Genomic DNA, 27,234 nt, shown 5'->3' with positions numbered 1-27,234 from the left:
GAAAATAATGCAATCAATCAACTTCTGCGAGGCCGGACTTAAATCCCACTAAAACGTGCTTAATTCATTCAACAGGCGTTGGCATCTTACCAGGGAGGAAAAAAAAAAAAAGAGTACGCCAAGGCGAAAAGGAGAGTCTCCATCTATTGCGTCTCAGGCTTCCGCCAAGACTGGCGGAAAAAAACGAGTCCGCTCCGAAGCGCTCGCCTGCCTTCGGCAAAAATCGTCAGGAGGCGGGGCCCACGCTTCGGCACGTTTCGCGCAGGGCATTGTGGGAAGGGCGGCCGGTGCAGCCGCAGCTGCCATCTTAGGGGCGCCTGGCGCTACGGGTTTCTCGTTGGAGGCGGCCTTCGTGGCAGCTGTAGACGCCGGGAAAAGGCATAAAGTCCGTTGGCCGACACCTTTCTTTCCTCCGGCCTCGGTAGAACCGCCAGCCCGCGTCCGAAGGCGGAGGCGAGGGGAACTGGCCGCGTGAGGGGCCTGAGGCGAGCGGTTAGAGCGTCTCCCGGAAGGATGGGCCGGTCTCGGAGCCGGAGCTCGTCCCGCTCCAAGCACACCAAGAGCAGCAAGCACAACAAGAAGCGCAGCCGGTCCCGGTCGCGATCCCGGGACAAGGAGCGCGTGCGGAAGCGTTCCAAATCTCGGGAAAGTAAACGGAACCGGCGGCGGGAGTCGCGGTCCCGTTCGCGCTCCACCAACACGGCCGTGTCCCGGCGCGAGCGGGACCGGGAGCGCGCCTCGTCCCCGCCCGACCGCATCGACATCTTCGGGCGCACGGTGAGCAAGCGCAGCAGCCTGGACGAGAAGCAGAAGCGAGAGGAGGAGGAGAAGAAAGCGGAGTTCGAGCGGCAGCGAAAAATGTGAGTGCCCGCGCGGGGAGGGACCGGGGCGTGCGGAGAGCAGGGCGCGGGGCGAGGGCGTGGGGCCGGGGCGGGACGGTGCGGGCCGGGAGAATGGCGGGGACGGTCCGGGGCTGGGGACCGGGCGCGGGAACGGGTCGGAGAGGCGGCGGCGGGGCGGGCAGGCTTGGCGTTTGGAAAGCTTGGGGTGGGACAGACCCAGAAGTTGTTCGGGATGGAAAATTCGAGGGCTTGAGCAGAAAGGGTTTAAGAGAAGGCGATTTTGGCGCGAGAGAGGAGTGGTGTCCCGGAAGTAGGGGTGGAGTTCGGAGTGAGGTCGGAGAGCTGCGTTGGCTTGTGAGGCCGGGAGCGAGCCGGCCTGCAGATGTGGAGGGTGGTGAGCGTTTGCTGGTCGGCTTGAGGAGGAGAGAGAAGGGAATTAACCTTTGAGATGCGAATCACAGCTGGCCAGAAGCATTCTATTGAAGCTCAAATTTGGGACAGGACTTAACTAATCTCGGGAATCATACACTTTAGGTGGTCCGCCAGAAAAATGCATTTTCACTTTAGTGTATTCCTGTTGTTAAGGTGTTGGGATTGCTTTTTTCCCCTTGAGCCTACACCCTCACCCCTTCCTTGAGATGTTAAAAAAAAAAAGCATAGACCTTAAGTGTACAGTGCGATGAGTTTTTTGACCTTTGAATTCACCTGTGTAATCACCATCCCAAAGCCTACCGCTTTTTTAACTTGCTTTCTATTCCTGTAGCAAACACGTGCAGTTTTGTTGTTTCCCTTACACTGTGCTTCTTCAGAAGACACTTGAAGGGTTGATTTTATTTTGGCGTTGCTCCCATGAAGGATATTTAGTGAAAACTAGAGTTAGAGTGTGTTTCCGAAAATGTCAGCTCTCAAGTATTTCTGGCTATGAAAGTAGATGTGGATAAATAATCCCAAACTAAAGGAATTTTTGGGTTTTAAAATTTAGGGATTTGTTGTGTGTTTTGCTTTATGATCATCGTACTTTGATGCTCTGGGTATTCAGTTTCCAAAAACCGCATTGAAAAGTAGATTTGAACAGTCCTACTAACTCCCTATTGAACCAGCCGTACTTGGTCAGTTCTTCAGTGAATATTTAGAAAGTGCTCATGAAGCAAGAACGTTACTGAATTTATGATTTTCTCGAGGCGAGTATATGTGTGCTGAATTGACTGCGTGGTTTGTAGTTTTCTGTAGTTGGGTTTGTGTTAGGTAGATTTTCCAGCACACACACACAGCTTGTTTCTAAAACCAAAGTTACTAAAAGGTAGGACTGGAGCACTAATATTACAGAGGAAGCTGTACCTGGAGCTGTTTTGCTTCCAACACTCCTTTAAAACACATGCAACACTCATTTTTCCTGTACTTAGAACTGTCAGTGATACATATGAAAACAAAGTTCAAGTAATCGTTTCAAATTAAACCTTGATTTTGTAGAATACAACTTTTGGGTCTGCAACAAGGCCCTTAGCTGTAAAGATCTCAAATAGCTATCAACAGATGGATGTATGAAAAGTTACCTAAGACATTGCTGAGATAATTTCTACATGTGAAAACAAAGGAGACCTCCAAAGAGTAATAACTTGCCTTTCACTAGAAAGCTAAGATATGTAGGAAAAATGAAAAGAAACTTGGTATGCAAAGAATAAATAGAAGCATTTAGCAGGTTTCGCATGTATAGCAGACAAGAAATTCAGGAATGAAATACGGCAAATAGAGGAGCTATATGGTTCTCTGGTTTGAGAGAAGACACAAACTGCCAATAGTATTTAGGAGGGAGAAGGGACCAGGACTAGCAGCCACCTGTACTCTAAATTCCTGGGTGCCGTACAATAGGCATTTTATTTAATATATTCTAATGTCTTGGAAACAATGCAAAAGAAACAATGGAAAGACTTAAGTGTTGGAGCTTTGGCAGTGTAAGGAAACAGTTTGCAGTCTACATATCCTGTTGGTTATTTTATTCATTTAACTGATGTTTATTGAGCATTTAATAAGTGCCAGGCACTGTGCTAGGTACTGTTAATATAAAGATGATTGGCCCTTCTCCAAGAGCTTGATCTAGCTCAAAGACAGATCATTAAATAGGCAATAATACAGTGTAGTAAATTTAGTGACAGTAATATAAACTGTATAAAGGAAGTATCCTGTGTGGGTGGAGGATATAAGAATATGACAATGTCAGGCAAGGTATAGGACATATGTGGAGCACAGAAAAGAGCCTCCTCCCCCGACTCCTGCCAAAATAGAGGAAATGGTCTTAAAAGTGGAATGATCAGGTGACTGTTGACTTAGAACACGAAGTTCTATAAATATTTAAGTCATGGAGTGACTGGAGAGGTAAATAGAGGCTGGGAATCATGTTAGGGTTATTGTATGTCATATTAAAGAGCTTGGATTGCATCCTAGAAACGGGAAGGATTTTAAGCAGGTGAATGACATGGTGCCTTTTTTGTTTTGATTGTTGTGTAGGATGGAAACTAAGAGGTGGGTACAGAAGTTTACACAGGAGTAGTGAGGATGGTTGTTGGAATGGAAAAGAGGGACAGATTTAAGAAACATTCAGGGTATATTAAATGGAATGTGGGACTTCAGAAAAAGAATGTTGGTTCTCATGTTTATAGTGTGGCTGTTGCAACTCATCTACCAAATGTTTCAGTAACAACCATGTGGCAGGTACTGGTAAAAATGTCAGAAACTTTTTAAATAGTGGATAAGGGAGAGGGAAAGGGGATAAGAGAATGGTGCCTTCACTGTGAGCACTAGTTTTGGATATACTGTACTGAGTTTATCCAGACTTGATCATGTGAGACTGAAGCCTAGCTGAGAGGGGCTTCGCTGAATGTCGTGAAACCTTGAGAGTATATGGAATGACCCAGGGAGAGTGTGGAGAGAGGAGAGCGGTTCATTCAAGGGACTGAAAGAACCTTAGGACATGCCTGTATTTGCAGTTAGGAAGAGGGAGAAGAGCCTATGGTGGAAGCAGAAAGAAATATGGTAAAAATGCATAGTGTCAAGTGCCCTTACAAGAAATCTAGTTAGATGGAAAGAGACCGTAAAATAAGAATCAACCATTGGGTTTAACTAATTAGGAATTCTTTGGTAAGATTGGAAACCTTATTGGTTTACCACTTATAATTCTGAGTTGCTGAATAAATCACCTCCCTCTAACCTTGTTTTTAAATCTGTGAAATGGAGATAATCTGTCTTGCTTGTTGTGAAAATTGGAGATGATGTATTTAAAGTAGGTGATACTTGGCATGTAATAGCTCTCAATAAGTAATGTTATTTAATGTAACTAACTTACATGGAGCCAGACCGAGCCTGATGAATTTCAGAAGTGATCTTATGAGTTGTCATCTTAATGCTGAGAAGGTAGGCCTTTACATTTTTAAAGACTTTTGCCCTCAATTTTGAATAGGCAGTTCACATGGTTCAAAATTCAGTTCAAAAGATCTTCCTCTCATCCTTGCGTCCCAGCCATTCAGTGTGGTTCTTCTCACCCCTCCCCCACACCAGTAGCACCATTTTCTTAAATGCTCTTTTGAGATGCTGCATGCATGTTATATTAACTGTTGAAAAAATAGACAACTGAAAATAACTTGCAGCAAATCAGGAAAATGTTAATGGCATAGTAACTTACTCTAGCCTGTGATATCTAGGTTCGAATATCCTCCGTGTTCAACTGGATGACGGATTAAGGGCCTTCTAAATTAGAGTATCTACACTGAACTGGGATCTATATAAGTGATTCTTAGAATACTTGGGCAGTTCATTGTGAGAGCAAAGAAGAGCTTTTAGGAGAAAATTGATTATATGGAACCGCATATTTTTGGAGGTTAAGGCTCTGACAGAACATTAAGGCATAAGACCTAGCTGATGTTAAGAATATGTATTCATTTATTTATTTATTATTTTTGTAGAGACAGAGTCACTATGTTTCCCAGGCTGATCTTGAACTCCTGGCCTCAAGTAATCCTTCTACCTCAGCCTCCCAAAGTGCTGGGATTACAAATGTGAGCCACCGTGCCTGGCCTATACTTTTTTCTTCCTTTTTTTGGTCGTTAAATCTGTGTGCTTGTCTTTGCCTTGCTTATTTGTCCTGCAGAAACCGGTGTAGGGTGGTAGTATAGTGCTTGCTTGAGATCGTTAGCTTTGGCATCTACTTAGGTTCAGAGAAACAGCTCAGCAACATCCAGTGTGCTCGAGTCTAGAAACTTCAGCTCCTTGTTCTTAGTTTCCTCAGTAAAAATGGGATACATACCCACTGCATAGGAATAATTATGTGATTTAAATGATGACATGGTATATAAAGCTTTTGGCACAATATTATATGTTACCTATTAAGTAATAAGTAAATGCTGTTTGCTAATAATTATTAAGCGATTCCTAGAAGTAAACCCCTAGGATTGAGTTCCCACATTTTAAAGATGTTTTAAAATAATGGTGCCAGTTACTCTGTAACAGTGCCGAAGTGCTGTAGCCTTACTGTTTTGTTTTTAATAGTTAGCATTTTAAAGTTCAGTGTGACTAGTGGTTTTTTTTTTTGTTTTTTTTTTTTTTTTTTGAGACAGGGTCTTGCTCTGTCGCCCAGGCTGGAGTGCAGTGGTGCAGTGGCGCAATCTCAGCTCATTCTCCTGCCTCAGCCTCCCGAGTAGCTGGGACTGCAGGCACCCGCCACCACACCCAGCTAATTTTTATTTTTTATTTATTTATTTATTTTTATTTTTAGTAGAGATGGGGTTTCACCGTGTTAGCCAGGATGGTCTCGATCTCCTGACCTCATGATCCACCTGCCTGGGCCTCCCAAAGTGCTGGGATTACAGGCGTGAGCCACCGCGCCCAGCCTGACTAGTGTTTTTAAAATACCTGAGAGCACAGAGAAAATAGGACCTAGTATTATACCATTTCATTGAAAACCTTGAAGATCTTGATTTAATGCTTTCGTCAGTATAACATATTATTGGCAGGGAAATGGATATTCAGCAGAGGAGCATGAGGAAAACATTAGAGAAAAGAACATCATGAGGGTGACAACTGCTATGGCAAGGGTTTTGAGGAGTGAATAGGCTGTTAGATGATACCTATTTTGCAAGACACTGACCCACTCAAGAAAGTTCAGTGCCTCTTATGGGAGTAGGCATAATAGTGGTTTTATCATTGATTATGATGATAAATTTGCCATCAGTAAAGATGAACTCATGCTTAATTCAGTTGTATATGTGCTCACTGGTTTGCTGAATTCAGTGTATGGTGAGGGGATAAAATTGAGCTTTCCTTCAGCATTGTTTCTAAAATTTGATTTAAAATTTTTTTCTGATTACTGAAGTAGCATTTTTAATTTTACCAAGAAAAACAGCAGAAATTATATTCTTGCTAACACTTGCAGGCAAACAGTTTTGCTGTGGTACCCTGAACCCTGCCTGTTGCAAAGCTTCATTTTCATATTGGGATGCCTTGCAGTTCCTCCAGGAACAAAGGGAGATAAGCAGCTTTGTGAGAAACTGCACTAGGTCATTTCTCATTCTCCAGTGTTTCAGTTGAGCGTGGGACTTTCCACTTGCCCTCCCTTTGGGCTATAAAGTCGCTGAGCTGTAGTTAGAATTGACTCCTTAGCAGCGGAGCAGCCCACGGCCTGCCTGTACTGCCTGTTACATGGGCCCTCTGGTTTGATGTCATCAGTGGAAATAGAAGCAGGGAACTGACATTCTGATTTGGCATTTGCTGTAAGTAAATTTATTTGGCTCATTTTCTCCTTACTGACCAAAGCTATGGAAATGAGGCCCTGTTAGCCACTGCGCTTTTGCTGAGGGATGGCTTGACTGCCAAAAATAACCTTGAGTGTGTATCAGGTCTCTTCTGCCTTCACCAAATTCTTAAGATGGCAACTTTTTACTCCTAGGGCCTTCTTTCTACTTTGTGTGGAATTTTAATTGGAACTGTGTTACATTATCCTTTTTTTTAATAGTCGGTACTATGATCCACCTAGTATTGTTAATTAAAAGTCACATTGTACCGGTTTTGAAATTTTAAATATTAAGTTTCTTCTTAGGCTTCTCTACATTTACTAATTTCAGAAGAACCAACTAGCAAAAGTGTGTGTGTGTGTGTGTGTGTGTGTGTGTGTGTGTGTACACTTTATTATGAGAAATTTACATATTCACAAAGGCAGATTATTATTATTATTCTTGGGTACTCATTATCCAGATTCAACAGTTGTCAGCCTTGTTTCATTGATTAGTTTTCTTTCCTTTTGGGTGAAGTAGAGAAACAACATTTTATATGGAAATGTGATTTAATTTCTATTGAAGTTGCTGTCTGGTTTCCTTTTATATGCTCCCAGTGATTGATTTTTTTTAGTATTGGGGAAGATACCTGCTCTCTCACTGAGCTGCTGTAGATAAAGACTTCAAACAACAAAGTCCTGAGAATGAGTGTTGGGCAAACATCTAGGCCCTTAAAGGAAAATATTCTTTCTCTAGTACCTACTGTCTCCTTGACAGAAGAATGTAGAGGATAAATGTAGAAACTGAAATGAATCAGATTAAGACACATTGGTGTTAGTGTGTTATCACTGAATAAGTAACAGGAGTTGAAAATGAGAGCCCTTGGGTGAGAATTGAATCATCCCGAAGAATAGAGTTGAGTTGAAGTGGATTGGGGTATTTAAAGGTCACTTAGAAACTATAAAGTCTTTACTAAACAGATAAATTGAATGATTCTCATATATATGGATGTCAAATGAGTGATCAAAAGATAAAGGTTGCAGGTTTTATTTAATTTTGAGAAAGTTGGAACATGAATCGTCCTCTTAGGATTGAGATTTACTGCAAGAGCCTCAGAATTTATTCATTCAGCACAAATTATTGTCTCAGTGCTATTAACTAGAAATAGTATGAACAATATATGCAATGTAAAATTTTTTTAGTAACCTTAAGAAATGGATGAAATTAATTTTATTGTATATTTTTATCCAAAATATCATTTTAACACGCAATCAAATAAAAATAGGAGATCATTTATATTCTTTTTCTTCATACTAAATTTCAGTTTGGACCAGACACATATGACTGGTGGCTGTCACTGAATATCATTGGTATGAAATGTGCAGGATTTCCAGTGGTGCCTTGATGAATGTCAGTAATTTCAGCACAGAATTTTATTTTGAGTAAATTGGTTTATAATATCAAAATGGGATTGGAGTAATTAAAACTGTAGTATCATGCTTTATTGAACTTTTTCTGGTAATAAAAATATATTTTTACCCACTTTCCCATTTCTAGAGGAGCTTTTAATTGAAAATTAACAAAAGGAAGAAAAGACATAGTAAGGAACTATAAAGCTAAAGAACTTCAGTTCAAAACTTAAGTTGGTCATATTTTCAGTAAAAACTACGCACTATTAGTCCAGCAATCTGAATCTCTTCAATCTGTATTTATTCTCTCTTTGCTTAGCGGGAAATCAATTCAGCCAATCTGAGTTGCCTGCTACATAATTTCTCCTTCTCTGTAGCTCAGCCCCAGACGAAGTGATTGGCAAATGAGCAAATCCATATGTTTTAACAACTTGTCCTCTGATTATAAAGTCAATAACAGAATAGGTTTTCTGTCCGGATTTATTGTTCCTAAATTAGAACTAATGAATTAGGCTCTTTGTATATACCTGTTCTCCTGTATTTAGAATATGATAAAGGAAAAAAAGATTTTATACTCATTTGAATTTCTGTATCAGTTAACATCTTGGTATCTGTCATTTCCTCAAATGTGACATGGAAATGAATTCTGAAAAAATCACTGAATAATATCAGGCTCAATGGCTTGATAGACTTAAAACTAGTTTTGTTTAAATTTATAGTTTTAAAAGTAAATACCTAACTTGTTTTTTTCACTTTGTTTGCTAGTCGACAGCAAGAAATAGAAGAAAAACTCATCGAGGAAGAAACAGCACGAAGAGTAGAAGAATTGGTAGCAAAAAGGGTGGAGGAAGAACTGGAGAAAAGGAAGGATGAAATTGAACGAGAAGTTCTCCGAAGGGTGGAGGAAGCCAAACGCATCATGGAAAAGCAGTTGCTCGAAGAACTCGAGCGACAGAGACAAGCTGAGCTTGCCGCACAAAAAGCTAGAGAGGTAACGCTCGGTCGTTTGGAAAGTAGAGACAGTCCATGGCAAAACTTTCAGTGTTGGGTTCTGCCTCCTGCTCAGTTCAGAAAGAGATGGAATACAGACTATCTAATTCCTTTCTCGTCTAAACTTAACATTGCTGCGAAAGTTAATTTTTTAGCCTATTCAGAAGTGCTGACTGATAACTTAAAAGTTGGAAGCTTTTATAAAACATATTCAAGGATACTTTTTGATTTAATGGAACTGGCTATTTGAGAAGTGTTTGAAACTTTTGCCATGGCTGCAGGACTTACATTCTTTTTTGGGAGGACGGTGGGGAGACAGGGAGTGGTAAAGGGAAAAGGTTAAAAATCCACCTGTGGTTGTATATTCTTCTATTCTGTCACTCTGTTACCTAGACTGTGAGAGGCTTTTGCCTTCAGTCAGATTAAAAAGAGCAGGGCCTAACATTGAGTGATAGCACCTGCTTTGATAAATAGGTTTTCTCACTCTTCTTTTTTTCCTTCTTTTATCCCTCACTCCCTCCCCTAAACCCTGCTTCAGCACAATGGACTAATTCTAGCATTCTGATCATAAGGCCCTCCATTTTCCTAATGTGTTTCAAGGAATCTTTTTAGGAAAAATATCCAGATTATTCATCCACTTTTTTTAGTATCTACTAACAACTCCTTTTTTTCTCTAGAGAGTTATGAAGGAACAGGTTGTCCTTGTCTGGAGTCAAGCTAAACACATGATTTGTTTTATCAGCAGCTGGAGCAGAAGTTGAAAATGTCTTTCTGTGAGACAGTAATTTGCTACTGAAGCTTTATGGCTTGTTTGCACTGATTACTCCAGGATCCAAAAACTTGGTGAAAGTCACTGAAACACTCAAGGCAAATTACTTTACAGCCCTGAGTGTCTGTCACCATAGTTTGCATAATGAATATGAATCCCATTGGTGTGTGATGTAGGAAATCCTGTAGTTGTATTTTCTTGAACTGAAATATTTGACTCAAAATAATTAAGACTCATTGTCATTTTTCATCTTGGCATTATTGTGGACAAGTTGACATATTAAATCTCTTTGCTTTCTGGTAAGCTTAGCTTTTAAAATGCATTTTCCCTTGTCCTGTCTTTAACTAGATATACATGCTTATATTTATAGTGGGTTTCACAGACTATAAAATTGAATGTATGAAATTTTTATTTATATCAGTGCTTTTAATAATGAAGATATTTTTGGAGTAATGGTGCTGTCTTGTAGCGAGTTATTAATCATAGTAAGATTTTTTTCTCTTCATTTGCTTTTTTTGTTTCATATTAACAATTTTTTTTTTACACGGACACAACCCTCTGACAGTCTTTCCAAATATTAAAATCATTTGAATATGTATGCTGTGATCTGAACACTGCTCAAGCCATCAAGCAGTCTTCATACAGTTTGCATTATAAAATCTCATTAAATTCTCCAAGAAAAAATAAGTTGAAGAATTTTATTTCCTGACCATGCATCCCCTGGATTTCTGAGTTTCAGTTCAGATTGTAGATGACAATATAAGCTGCCTTCCGAAATTGTCAACATCTGAATGTTAAGTCCATTTTCCCCATGGAAGAAGCCCGTAGTTCCATGAAGTATGGATTACCATTTGTATTTTTCACTAACAGTAAATGTATTTTTCTTATTAATTGTTTGCCTTAGGAATGATGAATTACATTTTTTGTTCCTTCTTACCATAAACATCTGCATTCCTCAGCTCAGCCTTCCTTGTATGTTGTTTCTTTATAAATGGTTGAGCTGCTGATGCAGGTATTGCCAAGCTAACAGTACAAATCATTTTAAAGAGGAAGCTGGCGCGTATGGCAGCCGAGGAGCACACTCTGCAGGACACTGGACAAGACAGTAAATATTCAACTTTTAATGCTGATTAAAGGAGTATAGGTAAAGAATACGTAGGTATACATAATTGGTGAGACAAATATTCACTTTATTTATATTTTATATATTATTTTTTTAATTTGGTAAATACTATCCAGTTTTGTAGTTGTCCTTGTTGATTTGTGTGATATTAAAGTATTAGTAATAATTGCCAGGAAACTATCATTAGGGAGGGTTTAGTTGGTTGCTGTTTGGACTGGGAGGGATGATTTAAATTTAGTGCTAGAAACCAATTTTAGTGACTGCACAGTTTATCATTTGTCAGACAGAAGGTAGCTATAAAGCTACCCTGTAAGTCATATCAAAAAAGTTCAGAGGAAGATTAGTAAATATTTATCAATAAAAATAAACATTTTGTTTTTCTAATATCTTAACATATCCTCCCCTTTAGGAGGAAGAACGTGCAAAACGTGAGGAGCTAGAGCGAATACTGGAAGAGAATAACCGAAAAATTGCAGAAGCACAAGCCAAACTGGTAAGTGTAAAGCATACATGAAAAGTGTTTTGTATTTTGCTTTATTTCCTTTTTTCGGATTTTGTGGATTGATTTTTGTGCCCTATAATTTGACTTATTTTGGGGGGATTCTCAGGACTAACTTTAAAGGCTTTTTGAGGCAAGGATAGGAACAATTGAGATTTTTCCTTCCAATCTGGACAGAACTCCAAAATTTGCAGTGATTTTAAAAAACAAGTTTTCTGGGGAAATTATTTTGTTCTCTATCCCCAGTTTTTTCTTTCCTAACCTCATTCACATTCTCCTATGCCTAAAAAACTAATAGCAACAACAAAAGCTTGGGGGTATATTTAAACCAACTATAATATGCAGCATTTTACTTTGTATTAGTTGGCTTGTTACCAGGAGTAGATAGTATTTATTTGATAGTAAGTGCACCGGAGTAATTTCCTATTCCTAGTTTATAATCTTAAGAAATACAGAGTCTTCGGTAATTATATAATATAGAAAGATGGGGGTGGGGGAAAGCAAGTTGTAAGCTCCAGTTACATGGTATAAAGAAATTTTGTGGTTATAAATGTACAGAAAAATATCCAAGTGGGTCTGAGTAGTTAACAGTGGATCCCATTGAGAGTAGGGATGAAGGAAGACCATAAATAACCTTAATAAGAATGTAAAAAGTTAATACGGGGCAGTTGTTTCTGGAACATCATCTTCTGAAAAATAGAGTACTCTGGATAAGAGATAATGCTAGAAATATTCCAGATAACTTAGTGAGCATGGCACAATGGATTCTTGGTAAATATCACCTGGTATTTGTGAAGGCCATAATGGAATCTATTGGAAAGCCATAATCCGCTTTCCCGAAGAAAATCTTAAAATCTGCTAAGGCAGAAAAAGCAATAGGAATGTGAAATGGATGAGTCATTCTAAGTTATATTGCTGCATGCTTATGAATAAGTATGTGATAACTTTTTTTTTTAGTTATTCTGGGATTCCATATAAGGAGAGAACCTCAGTGCAGATAGGAAGAAGAGGGAAAGTGTTCAATCTGAATTTGAGGTTAGAAGGTTGAGCTTTGAAGGGTAAATACACTCTGGTTTGTGAGGCATGGATGTTTCAGAAAAGAAGAAAAAAATATGGTTGACAGTTAAATCACTGAAGCAAAATTACTGAGCAGGTGGAACTGGACCTCCCATTAGGACATGTTAAAGAGATTGGATAGCTGTGGTGGGTTCATTATGTGGGTGGCCTGGAAGCTTGGTGTGCCCAGCCAAGATCTTGATCCCTTCTGACCCTGTGGTAGCTAGGGACGGCTTGGCCTCCTTGCATTCTTACAGTCCTCTATTATTTGCCCACATGAAAAATAAAAAATATGACTTTCGGTGTGTGATCACTGGAAAAAATATTGGTAGTCATAACCTAATACTTCTCAAATGGTAGTAAAAGTTCTGTTTTTGTTTTTTAATCCCAGTTTGTCTCAGACCTCTACTTTCGCAAAATACAATTAAGATGAATTACTAGAAAAATGAGGTCATATTGCTGTAAAAACTTCTAAAACCCTTAATATTGATTTGTCCTTGTTGGGGATTGATTAGTTTGTAGATTATAAGTGGTCTGTGGGCCATGCTTTACATTAGCACTTTTCTAGATCATACAGATTTAGATTTGATCAGAGTGACACTATTCTTGCTTTGTTTTGTTTTTGAGACGGAGTTTTGCTCTTGTTGCCCAGGCTGAAGTGCAATGGCGCAGTCTCGGGTCATTGCAGCCTCCACCTCCTGGGTGGGTTCAGGCTATTCTCCTGCCTCAGCCTCCCGAGTAGCTGAGATTACAGGCACCCACCACCATGCCCGGCTAATTTTTCTGTTTTAGTAGAGATGGGGTTTTACCATGTTGATCAGGCTGGTCTCGAACTCCTGACCTCAGGTGATCCACCCGCCTTGGCTTCCCAAAGTGCTGGGATTACAGGTGTGAGCCACCGCTCCTGGCCCAGAGTGACACTATTCTGATGGCATGCTTGTGATAAACTTCAGTAAAAAACATATCTTAGGGAAAAAGAGGCTTGGATTTGAGAAAGTTGAGTAAGAATTTGAACATATTTAACATGTTTGCTTATAGTGTTCAATAAAGTTGGGAGCGTAGTAAATTGATACTGGAGAAATTTTTTTTTTTTTTCTTTTTTTGATGGAATCTCGCTGTGTTGCCTAGGCTGGAGTGCAGTGGCGGAGTCTCGGCTCACTGCAACTTCCGCCTTCCAGATTCAAGCAATCCTCCTGCCTCAGCCTCCTGAGTAGCTGGGACTACAGGTGCCCACCACCACACCTGGCTAATTTTTGTGTTTTTAGTAGAGACGGGGTTTCAGTATGTTGGCCAGGCTGGTCTCAAACTCTTGACCTTGTGATCCACCCGCACCGTCCTCCCAAAGTGCTGGGATTACAGGCGTGAGCTACCGCGCCCGGCCAAGAAAAGTTTTTTATTTGGTTCTGTTGGTAGTCATATGCTGGCAGGAAAAGTAGGGTATTCTTTGTGTAGGAGGAGACAAAAAATGTATAAAGATGGCACGGTACACGTTGAGGCCCACTTCCACTTTTATTGCCTTTTTCCTTCCCCTTCCTCTCAATTTTGAGCACTATTCTTTAATCTTTATGTATGTTTATTGGGAAATATGTAAAATACATTCAAACTCCTATTAAAAGTACTTGATACCATATAAAGCAAGAAGAATGAGAAGCATTCTGGCCTCTAGAAAGTGATGAATGATGAAGGGTGATCAAAGGTAACTGTTTGCTAAAATCTATATTGAGAAAAACAACTGGATGGAAAAGTAGACAAGCCATTAAGTGCTTTAAAATAATTTAACATATTTTGGAAACAAAGACAACTCCAAAAAAAGTTACTAATACCATGGAAATATTTGGTAAGTGGTATAGGTAATGTAAGATAATGACATAGTTGCCCTGGGTGGCCTCGGAAACCTTCCTAGAAGAGGTAGTCCCTTGAGCTGGGCCCTGATGGGTAGGTGGAAATTCTATTAGGAGGTAGACAAGAGTGTGAGGAAATGAAACAGGGCAAAGGCCTTTGGGGTAGTAGAATAAAACAAAGGCTAGGGTGTGGAAACTTGGGATATTGGAAGAAGGAGCTATAGTAAAGTAGCAGCCATCCAACTTTATGTATGCTAAGAAGTTTGTGTGGAAAGTGGATTATAGAAAAGACAAGTTGATAATGAAAGTACCTTGGAAGTGGGGAGGGAGATTTCTTAAACATTTTAACTGAAAAAATAATACAATGATGTTACAGATCAGTAAAGAAGACTAACTTCCTAATTAAAAAGGATATTTGTACACAAGTAGGACAAGAAGCAACTACAATACATTTCTGAAAATATATCTCAACCTCAGAGAAACAAAGAAATGTCCCCCTCTTTTCTTTTTCCTTAATAGAAATCCCCTAAAGCCATTGTTTTTCATAGTGTCCTGTGTTGGCGGGTTATTATACAGATACCTCTTTACCTGATGATCATGAGAATTTAAATGGGTATAACAGTTTCCAAAGACAATTAACAGTAAATCAGTAAATATAAAAAACTTTAATTCTGTGTCTAAGAATTTATCTCATGAGATAGAATCATTTACAAATGAATTTATGTACAAAGATACTCTCAAATTATTTAAAATAGAAATGTCCAAGTTGTTGGATTCATTATTATTACACAGTGGGTTTTTCTGTAGCCAAAAAGTATTTGATAATTCAGGGGAAATACAAAATAGGAGGTAGCTAAATACAAAATTTATATATCCAATATGATCCTTTTATTTTGAGAAACATATACTTGCACATTTTAAGAGACAGAAAAATAAGCCAAAATGCTAAAAATAGTTATCCTTAATTGGTAGTCTTACGTGTAACTTTATACTTTTCTTCAGTTTCTACATGCTACAAGTAATGTATATCACTTTTTTTTATCACATAGAAATACTAGTAAAGAAGTTAAAGTCATACTTTTGACTTTTAAGTAGCCTTTTGTGACACAAGTTCACAGATTGAATCCCGTAATGACTAATAAGGAATGTGTTAGCCTAGCCACACGAGCTCATCCATATGTGAAAATCATTAAGTGCTCTAATCCATGGGTAGTTACTGTTTTTTTCAGTTCCACATTGTGTACCAAGATATTTGGTTTGTCAACAGAGACAAAAGTATTAACCAACAAACATACTTTATTTACAAAGTAAAAGCATCCAAATATGACTTGACTTGGCTTTTTGGCAGATTGTTCTTTGTTCTTGAGTTAGTGTTGGCGACACATAACTATCTTTAGGTATTTGAAGGGTTAATACAATGGAAAATTTTAATTTTCTTTTGTTAAAAATAATGCTTAAAATTTTTTGAAGTCTTCATGGTGTTTTTATGATGTGCCTGGGAAAATCTCAGATACTGTTCTGAAATGTATATGAATTTTACTTTTTTGGAGAGGGAAACAGACTTAAAAATTGGGGATAGATTTTGCTATAGAATAAAATACTCTTCCAGAAGGTTGTGTCAGCAGAAGGAAGAAACTCTCAATCTATACCCTTGTCAAGATTGTAAAATACAAACCGTACAACCTGGCTAGTGAATCTGGTGTAAACGCCTAAACTATAATAATAGATTGATAGATTGATAATTTCTAATAAAATTTTAGGTAACATACTGGTCAAAGGAAGGACAAATTACTTTTGATGGGAGATGGGGGTGTTTGGGGTTTTAAAGTATATGCAAGTTATAAATTCTAGATTTACAGATCTCTTTACTAATGAAATAGTTTTCTTCTCACCCCTTGCCAAGTTCATCGTGTTATACCACTTTGTATCTCACCAGTTTGTTATCTCAGCAGTTTGAGAGAAGAAAAGATATGCCATGTTTGAAAGTTGCTTATATATCAAATGTGTACCACATACATAAGTTTGAAATAAACCAGAGTTTGCTTTGCGAGATGGCTTTCTTTTAAATGAGTTTGTATGATAGGCTGAAAAATCCCTTCTGTCCTCTCTCCATGAAAAACAATCTGTATTCTAGTGCCTGGAATTTGAATGTGCCCATATATGACAAGGAGGGCGGGGCTTTTGCAGATGTGATTAAGTATCTTGCAATGGGGAGTTTATTCTGGATTATCTGGTGGGCCTTAAATGCCATCACATGTTTTCTTAGAGAGGCAGAGGGAAATTTTAGCATATAGCACAGACAGGAGAAGGAAGCTAAGTAAAGACAGAGGAGAGAGATTTGGAAATGTTGGCGTTGAAGATTGAAGTGATGTAGGCTGAAGCCAAGGAATCCTCGCAGCCACCAGAAGCTGTAAGAGACAAGGAGCAGACTCTCCGCTAAAGACTCCAGAAGGAGAATGGACACCCTTCTGACACCTTGCTTTCAGCCCAGTGATACTGATTTCAGACTCCTGGCCTCCAGAATAAATTTATTTTGAGCTGTTTAGTTTGTGGTAATATGTTACCTAAAAATGTGGAAGTGGTTTTGGAATTGGACAGTGGGTAGAGGCTCCAGTTTTGAGTCACATGATAGAAAATGCATATGTTGCCTTTAAAGACTGTTGGCAAAAATATGGATTTTAAAGGTGCTTCTGGTTAGGGCTCAGAAGCAAATTAGGAACATATAAACTGGAGGGAAAGAGATCCTTTCTATAAGTGATAGAAAGCTTGGCTGAATTGTGTCCTACAGTTGTATATAAGGCAGAACTTAAAACTTTTTCATATTTAGCTGAGAATTCTAAGTAAGTGTTGAAGTTGCAGCCTGGTTTCTTCCTGTTTATAGTAAAGTGGCAAGAAAAGCTAAATTGAAGAATGAACTGATAAGTATAGAAAGAACCACCAGCACTGGATGTTGGGAATATCTCAGGCTACTCAGATGGCAAAAGGTGTTCACTGTTAGAAAAACTGTCTCTGGAAAGAAGGCCAGGGGTATTGCTAGACAGCCTTTTGTTTGTGTGGAAGAAACTATGCATGTAACTCATAGGTTCCCGTACTATCTCAGTAAAAGCCAGAAATAGATGAGATTATCCAGGAAATATCTATGGAGAACGATGTTTAATGATGTGACGTGTAGGGGACCTCCAAAGTTTCTGAGAATGTTGTGTCAGCAGAAACTGCCAACTGGTACTGAAAAAGACACATGACACGATGAAGGAAGGTGTTCAGACTCCTGACAGAATCCATGCACATAGGAAAGGTGATGTGAAAACAAACACAGAGATTTGAGGATGTTGATCTTGGAGTGAAGTGTCCACACACCAAGAAACCTTGGCAGCCACCAGAAGCTGGAAGAGGCAGGGAACAGATTCTCCCATAGAACCTCTGGAGGAAGTGTGTCCCTGCCAACACTTTTGATTTTTGTTCCAGTGATACTGATTTTGGACTTCTTGACTCCATAATAAATTTCATCCAGTTGCAGTTTGTTACAGTGGCCACAGGAAATGAACACAGTTGGAAAAAGAACAGGGTATCTTATAGTAGAGCAAGCATTTCTATAAGTTGAAATGGTACAATACTTAGGAAAAATAAGGCACCAAATGTAAATGTCAAATATTTTAATTTGAAATGAAGTTTTGGGTAAGTCAGGTAAGGATTTTCAGAGAGCGAGAGGTTTTTTCCTGATTGTTAAGATAAAAAGCTGGTTGAAGACCTTATGTTAATGTATTTGGGACAGTAATTTAAAAAATAAATTTCTGGACATGAGTGAGTGTATTGACATTGTGAAGGATGGGTTTGTAGGACACAAATTGGAAACACGAAGCCACTGAAGGCCAGTCAAAAGATGGGGCCTTGAATCACCAAAGTAGCAGTTCTTAGAAACTGTGAGGGAGAACTAATAAACTTGGTGAGTGAAGAGGTATGAAAAAGCCGGGACGCAGGGGAAAGTCTGTTGTAGGAACCAGAAAAGACACTCCTGATGTAATCATTCCTAATAAACTCATGCCAGGTATCCCTAAGCATTTAAGGAAAACTTAGTGCACAAAATAGTGAATGACCAAGACAGAAGAACTGTAAAAAGAGAGAATGTAGGATACAGAAGATTAAAAGAGCCACATCTAGATAATACCTTTATTTGTGAAATTTTAGAACAGAAAGTATAAAGAAAATTCCAAAGGCATCTGATTTTCCTTGGCAAAATTATACAGCAGTCTCTCCAGAGTGCTCAGGCAGTGCTTTTTGTACATAATATTGCATACAAAGCTCAATCTCAGTCACTTCCTCCTTTTGAAACAGTTGTCTTCACTTCAGGTAACATGGAATCCATGGAGATATTATCTAAGGTTGAAGTTTCAAAAATGATTTAAGATTATATATAAATGTCACAAGAGGGGAATTAAGAATAAAAGGGGGTAAAGGGAGTAGGTGGTGATAGGAATTTAGATGGTAGCTAATGATATCCTGTAATGATGGTTTGGCATATTAGAAACCCTAAGGAGGTAACTGTGAGAATAAATATGTTGTCACAGGGATGAAGGGGATCCTTGCGTTTTACCCTTCTGTTATTTAACATTGTACATGGAATACCTCAGAAAAATTTACTGACGTAGTTTACTAAGTGTCAGAACTAATCGTATCAAATATATTTTTTTCATTTTTTTATTCATTGGTTATCTAAAGTGGGATATACATTTAAAAAGTTATGGAAGGGAAGATGAATAAAGGAATTAAAATTATAAATGGCAGAGTGGATCAGGCTGTTTATCTTGGAAGGTTTAAAATGTAGAAATCACATTTCTGAATAGTGGCATAGTTTCTAATTGTGCTGTTTTTCATCCATTTCTATAATCACTCTTGAAATATTTCTATGGATTTTTAAAATTTTATAAAGTTACATATATTTCAAATAGAGAATAGATTTCAGTATCTCTGTCTGCTAAAGGGACTGTTGCTAAGAACTACCTTGATTAAATTTATGGACAGTTTAAGAAGGAGAATGCTTAGGAAGGTAATCTTTATAAAATCAGTAGATCCTCTGGGTAAAGACGGTAGGGCAGAGGCCGGGCACAGTGGCTCACGCCTGTAATCCCAGCACTTTGGGAGGCCAGGGCAGGCGGATCACAAGGTCAGAAGATCTAGACCATCCTGGCTAACAAGATGAAACTCCGTCTCTACTAAAATACTACAAAAAAAGGAGCCGGGCGTTGTGGCACGCACCTGTAGTCCCAGCTACTCGGGAGGCTGAGGCAGGAGAATCGCATGAACCCGGGAGGCGGAGGTTGCAGTGAGCCAAGATCGTGTCATTGCACTCCAGCCTGGGCAACAAGAGCAAGACTCTGTCTAAAAATAAATAAATAAATAAAATAGGGCAGAGATTACTGGGAGGGGTAAGTAGGCCTTTTAACTATAATGGAACATTTTTTTGTGTGTGTACTTCTTACCACCAGTCACTCTTTAGCTTGGGGTACAAAGTTGAAAGCCACCTTTGTGAGATTGAACAGGGTTATGGGCATAATGGCTAGGAGGGTCTGCCCCAGTGTATTGGTTCTGGTATTGTGGATGTTAGCTTTCTCCTTGGCCTCCAAGCTGTCCACTACGTAATCCTTGTGAGTGAGTTGCTTAGTATTACTCATCTGTATAAATACATATATGCATCCCCAACCCCCCATGCAAATACTGCTTTCTTGTGCATAAATGTGAAACAAGCAGGGAAAGGAGCAATGGTTGTATTCTCCGGCAAGTCAAGTCATCAGGAAAGAAAAAGTTACTACAGAGAGAGGGTAGGATTTAGGAAAATACCTAGCAAATAAGGTATAGGGTCATACCACACTTACAAGTGGTGGATGAACAGGAAACCAGCTTTTATCACTTGAGAGACTATATTAAAATGAGAGATGACGGTTGTTAGTGTTTGAATAGTCTTTTTTTTTGTCAAAGTGTAATTAAGATTTATGCCTAAAGCCATAGTAGAACAAAATACCAATATTTGTATATAGACAGTATATTCAACTAATTTTTAAATCATTGCATTAAATACTTCTAGTAGGCACTGTATGCCTAGCATTGGTGATTAACATTGTTGAGCCGTAGTCCCGGAGAAAATCAACTCTGCTGTACATACATACACAACACACTTTTGCCTTCTGTATTTGTAGACCTAAGTGAAGAAACTTGATTCTTTACCCAATCTAAAGTGCAGAATTAGTATTTTATCTGAAGGAAGTTGCTTTACTTTAAAAATCTTGTTTTTTTAATTAGGCAAAATGATCACATGGTTCAAATTTTGTTTTTTTAGGAAGAGAAACAGTGAAGTCCCTTTACCTTACCCCCAACCCAATCCCCAATTCCCAACCCCGTCTCCAAAAGTGTACTCAGTTACGGGTTTTTAAAATCTTTTCAGAATGTCTGTAAAAGCATATTCAGGCAGATACAAATGCATAATATTTTAATTCTCCCTTTATTGCACAAAAGTAGCATGTACACAAGGAACTTTCTTTTTTTCATTTAACAGTGTAACTTGGAGATTTTTCCATTGCGGAACATAGGGGCCTCCTTTTTTCCTCTTACTTGTTTTTAATGGCTATACAATATTCTCCTTTATATATCTTCAGTAATTTATTTAGTGTACCCCATATTGGTGGATATTTGGGTTTTTTTCACATTCTTTTCTTTCTATAAACTGTGTTGTAATATGTAACCCTGTAAATATATCAGTTTCGCATGGGTGCAAAATTTGCACATTGCTGTACAAGTACATAATGTAAATTCCAGAAAATGTACTTGCTGGCATAAAGTATTACGAAGATGTAATTTTGATAGTGTGAGAGTGCTCTTTATATGATAGCATATGTGTGTTAGTCCATTTTTTGCTGCTCTAACAGGGTAATTTATAAAAATATTTGGCTCAGGGTTCTGGAAGCCGGGAAGCCTAAGAACATGGCACAGGCATCCCATGAGGTTTCCCCATGGTGGAAGGCATCACATGGCGAGCAAGCTAGACAGAGAGGGCCCTAGAGAGAGAGAAAAGTGGTGGCCAGACTCGTCTTTTTATCAGGAGCCCATTCCCATGGTAACCAACCCACATCCCACTCGGGTAATAACAGAATTAATCCATTCATGAGGATGAACCCCTCATGGCCTAATCACTGCTTAAATGCCCCACATCTTAATACTGTTAACAATGCCAGTTAATTCTAACAGCGACCTTTGGGGGACATACTGAAACCACAGCAGTGTGCTGTCACACTTTGAATTTCTGTCTTCTAGGGTAAAAAATGGTATATTTGTAATGTTCATTAGATTTCTCTTATGGATTAAGGTTGTGATGTTCTTTATGTACCCTCACTCTCCAGGGCTCTAGGATGCTTTCCTAGGGTTGAGTTAGAACCTTAGAAGAAAGTGAATCTGAGTATTTATATTGATAAAATGTTTCTTAGGCACACACACACATCCAAAGAACCCTTACTACATCTTGATTCAGTTGCACACACTAAGCTCTTACCCCAAATTTGTGATGATTTATTAAAACTGGATAAAGTGATTGGCATATGAATTCATTAATGATGACCGATAGCAGGCAGTTCTTTTTGTTGTAATATCAGTGAAAGCCTAAGGAAGAGAGTGGCTATTTGAAATAGATTCTGATGTACAGGTAGGATTTCCATAGAAGGAAAGAATGGCATGAGCAAAAGACGGGGGAACAAGATAGAAAGGAGAATTTAGAAGAGGAGTAGAAACAAAGCTGGAGCCAGGTTATAGAAAATCTTGTCTTAGAGAAACATTATACTTTAGGAAGTTAAGCTGTATGCCATGGACAGTGGATATCATTGGCAATTTGAGAACAAGAAAGAGTGAGCAGTGGTCAAGAAAGGTGAGTCTGGCAGTATCGTGTAGGATGGATTGAAGGACACACTGGAAACGGGCACCATTTTAGATGTACAAAAGATATGTGGCCCTAAACTGATGAAGCTGGCAAAAGAAATGAAAATAAACTCTAGGCAGAGAATATAAAACAAGAAGTAACAAACTTGACTGAAGAAGGAAGAGATGAAATAAAGCTATAGAATTTGAGTGGCGGAAGGGAAAGTGTAAAGGGCAGATTTATTTTAAGGATAAAGTGGAAGAATTTAAATCTTGAAACATGTTGAATTTTGAAGCAAGTCCTAGGTCTCCCAGGTGGATGTGTCCAGTAGCCAGGTCTAAATGTAGCATAGGAAAAAGGTTTTAGAGAGCTGTATCTTAAAGATACATTTTAGCTCTCTGTTGGATTTTCCACCATGCTCACCTGCCAGATTCTCTCACTGCTTGTAATTCTGATCTTTGTTATCTCCAACCTTACTTGACTGCGGTTGATTTGTTCCAACACCTATCTTTTAGTCTACGTCACATTGCTGTCTAAACTTCTTTGCGTTCTTCCCTTTTTGCTACTTAAGATAAAATCTCAACATTTTTTATTGCATACCGGAGTCCTGTTACCTTTTCCATCTTCCTCTGCCATAAATGCCTGTAAACCAGTCACTTTACACTTTATTTAAAAAATACATATATATCAATGGAGACAAAAGAAGTAATTAGTGTGTGGCATTAGAGAATGTATCAGAAGAGAGAACGTTTTTAAAAGACTTAAGTGAACAGAAGAATTTATTTGAATAAAGAGAAAAATCACTGAATTTGATAGATTTTGACCATACAGAAGAAAATTTTAGTAGAATAATGGAGATGGAATCAATGACCTAAAATTTGACTTTGAATGGGAATAGGTAGGCAGCTCAAAGGATGCAGCGAATGTTTTAAGATCACTGTCAGATAGAGGGGAAAAAGGATAAATCATGATAACTGATATTAAAAAGGGTTAGAGCAGGCTTTCTCAATTTTGGCACTGATTGGATCATTCTTTGTTGTGGGAGCTGTCTTCCATATTATAGGATGTGTAGCATTGTCCCAGTCTTCCACCCACTAGATGCCAGGAGCCATTCCCAGTTGTGGCAGCCAGAATCATCTCCATGCATTGCCTAATGTCCCCTTGGGGAAGGGATTAAAATTGTGCTTGGTTGAGAATTGAGAATTGAAGATGTGTGTATGGTATCTCTAGGAAGCATGAGAAGGGCCTGACTTTGGTAAAGAGGGGGAAATCTGTGGAAGAATGCGGGAAAGAAGTTGCTTGACATGGAAGGAGTTGAAGGCACTGCAGGAGTGGAATCAGTTATACCAGTGTCCTTTTGAAATTAGATAGCACTTTATAGTTAGTCAGGTCAGAAGGTTTTGTAATATTTTTCTTCAGGTAATTGGGTCTGTCGTGTTTCTTGGTTGTCTACTGATACTATAATATAGTCCCTTTTTTTTCAGCATGATTTGACCACACAAAAAGCCCCAGTGGAGATTTTTTCCTATGTTTCTGTTTTTTTGTGTGTGTGTATGCCCTTCAACTATAAATATGGCAATTGGTAGATAACCTGCTCTTTGAGTAAATCTGTACCTCGGTTTATAATTAACAATCTATTAATCTGGTACAATGAAGTTAGAGATAAAAATAGGTATAGAACAAAATCTGTCATCTCAACATGTGATTTGTGGAAATTAATTTCCACTTCCAAAATGTGTAAATGCTTTTCCATAATTTGTTCATTTATTTTCATTGAAAATGAAAGACAGAAAATGTAGATGTAATTAATAAAGGGTTCTCTTTTAATTTTCTTAATTCTTTTTTCTCTACCAAACTATGTGACCTTCGTCAGATTTTATGACACATGCCATTGTGTGTAAGTTGTCACCTCATAACTAAAATATTTTGAAGGCATGTAATTCATAGGAAGTCCTTGTTTTTACCCCCTTTTTTGCATTTGCATTAAAAATTTTTTTGTAGATACATAATAGATAACACCTGTTGCAGGGGTACATATGATAATTTTTAATACATTTCTATAATTAATTTTTACTTTTAACTTTCAGGCCGAAGAACAGTTGAGAATTGTTGAAGAACAAAGAAAGATTCATGAGGAAAGGATGAAACTAGAACAAGAACGACAACGTCAACAAAAAGAAGAACAAAAAATTATCCTGGGCAAGGGGAAGTCCAGGCCAAAACTGTCCTTCTCATTAAAAACCCAGGATTAAATTGCAAACTCTGAACTTTTTACAAAGAAAAATGGAAAAACTTTGTATGGTAGCTTCATGTTGAAGTGGTTTTTTGTTTTTGTTTTTGTTTTTTTAATTTGTAAAATCTGGAAAGTTAGCTTGTTCTAATAGGGGCTATGCTCTGCAATTCCCTTTTTTTTTTTTTTTTTCCTTCCACTAAGTCAAATCCTTATCAGATCATTGTTGTATTCTAAGGAGTGACGTATTTTTCACCTGTTTGGATTCTATATTAGTGGTCTGAGGAAGAGCAGATCACATTGTAAAACTATGGATGGTCTGATAAGGCTTTTACTGACCCCACTGACTTCAGAGTTATACTCTGTTTGCTACATCATAATGCTGGTTTTGCTGACTTTTTGTTTTTTTATATATTTATAAAAAAAGAAAAAGTTGGTGATTGCATTGGGAAATTCCCAGGGTATTACTGGACCTATGTGGTGTATTGTTAAACCAGTGTCCTTGTGATACTGTTGCTCTTGATGTTCCTGATACAGGTAAGGAAACAGTTGGTCAACTCTGATACAAAGTATATATACAGTTCAGTATTGTCTCTGTTCATTTTGTTTTTATTTCATTGACAAAATCAAACCAGCATTCCCCATTGTGTAAATAAATGATTTTGCTGAATAAAGTAAAGTCTTAAATTCATATGTTGAAGCAATTTTTTTTAATGTTATGTTAAGTCTTAAAGAGGGTGGTTCACTTTTTGATGGTCAACCATTTAGAAGTCTTAGAACTATATTTCCTCTTGTTTATACTTTTAACATAGGGTTTATATGTACATTAAATATACTTGTGAATTAGTATTTAATGGCTATTTTTACAAATATCAACTTTATGCTGATAGAGCAAATGGCATCAGTGTTACCTTTAAGAAAGACTAACAACATCCAGAAGATTTAAATTCTCAAACCTGTGCCTCTGTTTTAGGATATAAGTATTATCACAAAGTATACTTAATAAAGGCTAGAAAAATGCTTTTAAATTATGGAATCTGAGATCGTTTTCAGAGTGGGCCATCAGAAAGAACTTAGCTTTATACTGTCAAAAAAAGGCTAAGATGGTCGAGTCATTTTCATTGTGTAGTGTACTTGCACGTTTATTTTTAGGACAAACACATTTGAACTTTATGAATTTTTTTTTTTTTTTTGCATGTGAAATCTTATGAATGGCTTTCATTTTATACACTAGAATCTGCCTCATTTACTCTTAACATATGTTTAAGTATACTGGTATTAAAACATTCAAGAAAAGGATATTGATCTAAAATGCTACCTGAGATGCATAAACATGTCATCAAGTAGAGAAAATATTTTTATTTTTGCCCAATATTTTTTAGACAGTTTGATTATTCTTAAAAATTGAAAACATAAGCTAAAGAGATGACTAAATGGTAGATTATTTTGTGTGTGCATGCTAGGAAAAATGCTGTTGCTTTAGTTTTGAGCTCTTCAATGAGTCTAATTGTGGTAAGGAACAATATAAAATCAGTTTAAAGATCTTTAAAGGTAGAATTTTAAATAGGCATGAAATATAGTGAGAACTTTTAGTAAACATACTACTTACTCTAAAATCAAACATTTTATTTTCCTAAAGAATATAGGTTGCCAAAAAATATTTTATCTCTAAATATAGGTTAGCTGTAATTATTTCATGAATTTTTTTTTTTTTCAATGTAACTTTTTTTGGTGAAGATTCATGGTTCCTAAGTTCTGTATTCAAGTTTTTGGAAATGTTTATTTAAAAACTGTTCTATACAAGTGTTCAAAACATTGTATCTAAAGAGAGTAGCCTGGACTTAAAATATTTGAAATCAGCTTATGCGTGCCTTTTAATTTTTTTTTTAAGTTTCTTACTGCCACATATGGTGTGAAGTGACAGTAAGTTGCTTAATGACATCCTGCAGTATCTGCTTGCTTTTGGAGACTCCAGTGAGATGTTGAAATTGTTCCTGTGCTTGGTAACTACTTTCCTCTGCCAGGCTATGGGAAAGAGGATGTAATTGTGAATAATATACACCATCCAGTCTTTAATGTGCTGCAACAATGTAGTAATTTGTTTTTTTCATTTGTTCCCACTGCCTTTGTGTACATAGAAAACTTAAAAATTTCCCCCAGTCTATTAGAAGTTAAGATGTTCCCTAATTTATTAAATATGCCTTTATTCACAATTTGTTTTTTTAGGTTATTCTTAATGCATTATAGAATTAAGTATGACTTTGTTTATTTTTATTACAGTATGTAGTTATTGACATATTGTGGTTTGCAGAATTATCAATTGTATAAACTAAACCTTTAAATTAGCTTGGTGTGAGGACTCTTTAATGCTTTAAATTGGGGAAGGGGTTTGTAGTATGAGATTTTACCTACTTCAGTTTCCCTTATGAAGATGCAGCAAATCAGACTATTTCTACCCTAAGTAATCTCCGTATTCATTTACTGTGCTAGTATGTGTCCATAGCTTTTTTTTTTTTTTTTTTGTATCACCACCTGTCCTGGATTTAGCAGTATCTTAAGAATTTTCAGTGGTTTGTATTTTTTCAATTTTCTAAGTATAGTAAGCGTAGAATCCTGACTTGTTGAACTCTATGTATCATTTCTAATGCCTCATTTTATGAGGAGCCTGTCACTTCACTGACATTTCTCCAAAGCTATTTCTATCCATTAGAGCGTCTCTTTTCAGTTGTCTAAATTTTCTGCATCTTTACACGCAAAACCATTCATCTGTTTTGTATTAATGGCCATGAGAAATACTGAAGACAGGCTATCCTAATTTT

At 37.8% G+C, this 27,234-nt stretch overlaps 1 protein-coding gene across 1 annotated transcript, besides 5 other annotated features; it reads left to right on the top strand.

The window, feature by feature from the left end:
• Positions 30 to 940: an enhancer, noted in NCBI's record as "NANOG-H3K27ac-H3K4me1 hESC enhancer chr13:107219841-107220751 (GRCh37/hg19 assembly coordinates)". NCBI's record gives its function as "activates a minimal SCP1, AML or CMV promoter by ChIP-STARR-seq in primed H9 embryonic stem cells {active_cell/tissue: H9 hESC(primed)}" and the evidence as "EXISTENCE:reporter gene assay evidence [ECO:0000049][PMID:30033119]".
• Positions 30 to 1,134: a biological region, named in NCBI's record as "NANOG-H3K27ac-H3K4me1 hESC enhancer GRCh37_chr13:107219841-107220751".
• Positions 155 to 224: an enhancer, noted in NCBI's record as "active region_7984". NCBI's record gives its function as "activates an Ori minimal core promoter by ATAC-STARR-seq in GM12878 lymphoblastoid cells {active_cell/tissue: GM12878}" and the evidence as "EXISTENCE:reporter gene assay evidence [ECO:0000049][PMID:35858748]".
• Positions 235 to 354: an enhancer, noted in NCBI's record as "active region_7983". NCBI's record gives its function as "activates an Ori minimal core promoter by ATAC-STARR-seq in GM12878 lymphoblastoid cells {active_cell/tissue: GM12878}" and the evidence as "EXISTENCE:reporter gene assay evidence [ECO:0000049][PMID:35858748]".
• ARGLU1 (arginine and glutamate rich 1) lies at positions 296 to 26,760 on the top strand. The gene is made up of 4 exons (NM_018011.4): positions 296 to 860; positions 8,776 to 9,001; positions 11,302 to 11,385; positions 24,273 to 26,760. The coding sequence occupies exons 1-4, from the start codon at positions 514 to 516 to the stop codon at positions 24,435 to 24,437; spliced, it is 822 nt and encodes a 273-aa protein (NP_060481.3). The 5' UTR covers positions 296 to 513; the 3' UTR covers positions 24,438 to 26,760.
• Positions 835 to 1,134: a silencer, noted in NCBI's record as "silent region_5492". NCBI's record gives its function as "represses an Ori minimal core promoter by ATAC-STARR-seq in GM12878 lymphoblastoid cells {active_cell/tissue: GM12878}" and the evidence as "EXISTENCE:reporter gene assay evidence [ECO:0000049][PMID:35858748]".
• Positions 26,761 to 27,234: the final 474 nt, after the last annotated feature.

This window comes from Homo sapiens, chromosome 13 (assembly GCF_000001405.40).
Source record: "Homo sapiens chromosome 13, GRCh38.p14 Primary Assembly".
Lineage (NCBI taxonomy): Eukaryota > Metazoa > Chordata > Mammalia > Primates > Hominidae > Homo > Homo sapiens.
The sequence above is the reverse complement of the archived record's forward strand: the minus strand, read 5'-3'. Positions and strand labels throughout refer to the sequence as shown.

What these genes read in the sequence shown, in the direction of transcription:
- ARGLU1 (NM_018011.4), top strand. Translation starts at nt 514, where the DNA reads ATGGGCCGGTCTCGGAGCCGGAGCTCGTCCCGCTCCAAGCACACCAAG. An exon ending in TTCGAGCGGCAGCGAAAAAT is followed by an intron (nt 861 to 8,775) that starts GTGAGTGCCCGC and finishes TTTGTTTGCTAG; the next exon opens with TCGACAGCAAGAAATAGAAG. An exon ending in CAGAAGCACAAGCCAAACTG is followed by an intron (nt 11,386 to 24,272) that starts GTAAGTGTAAAG and finishes TTTAACTTTCAG; the next exon opens with GCCGAAGAACAGTTGAGAAT.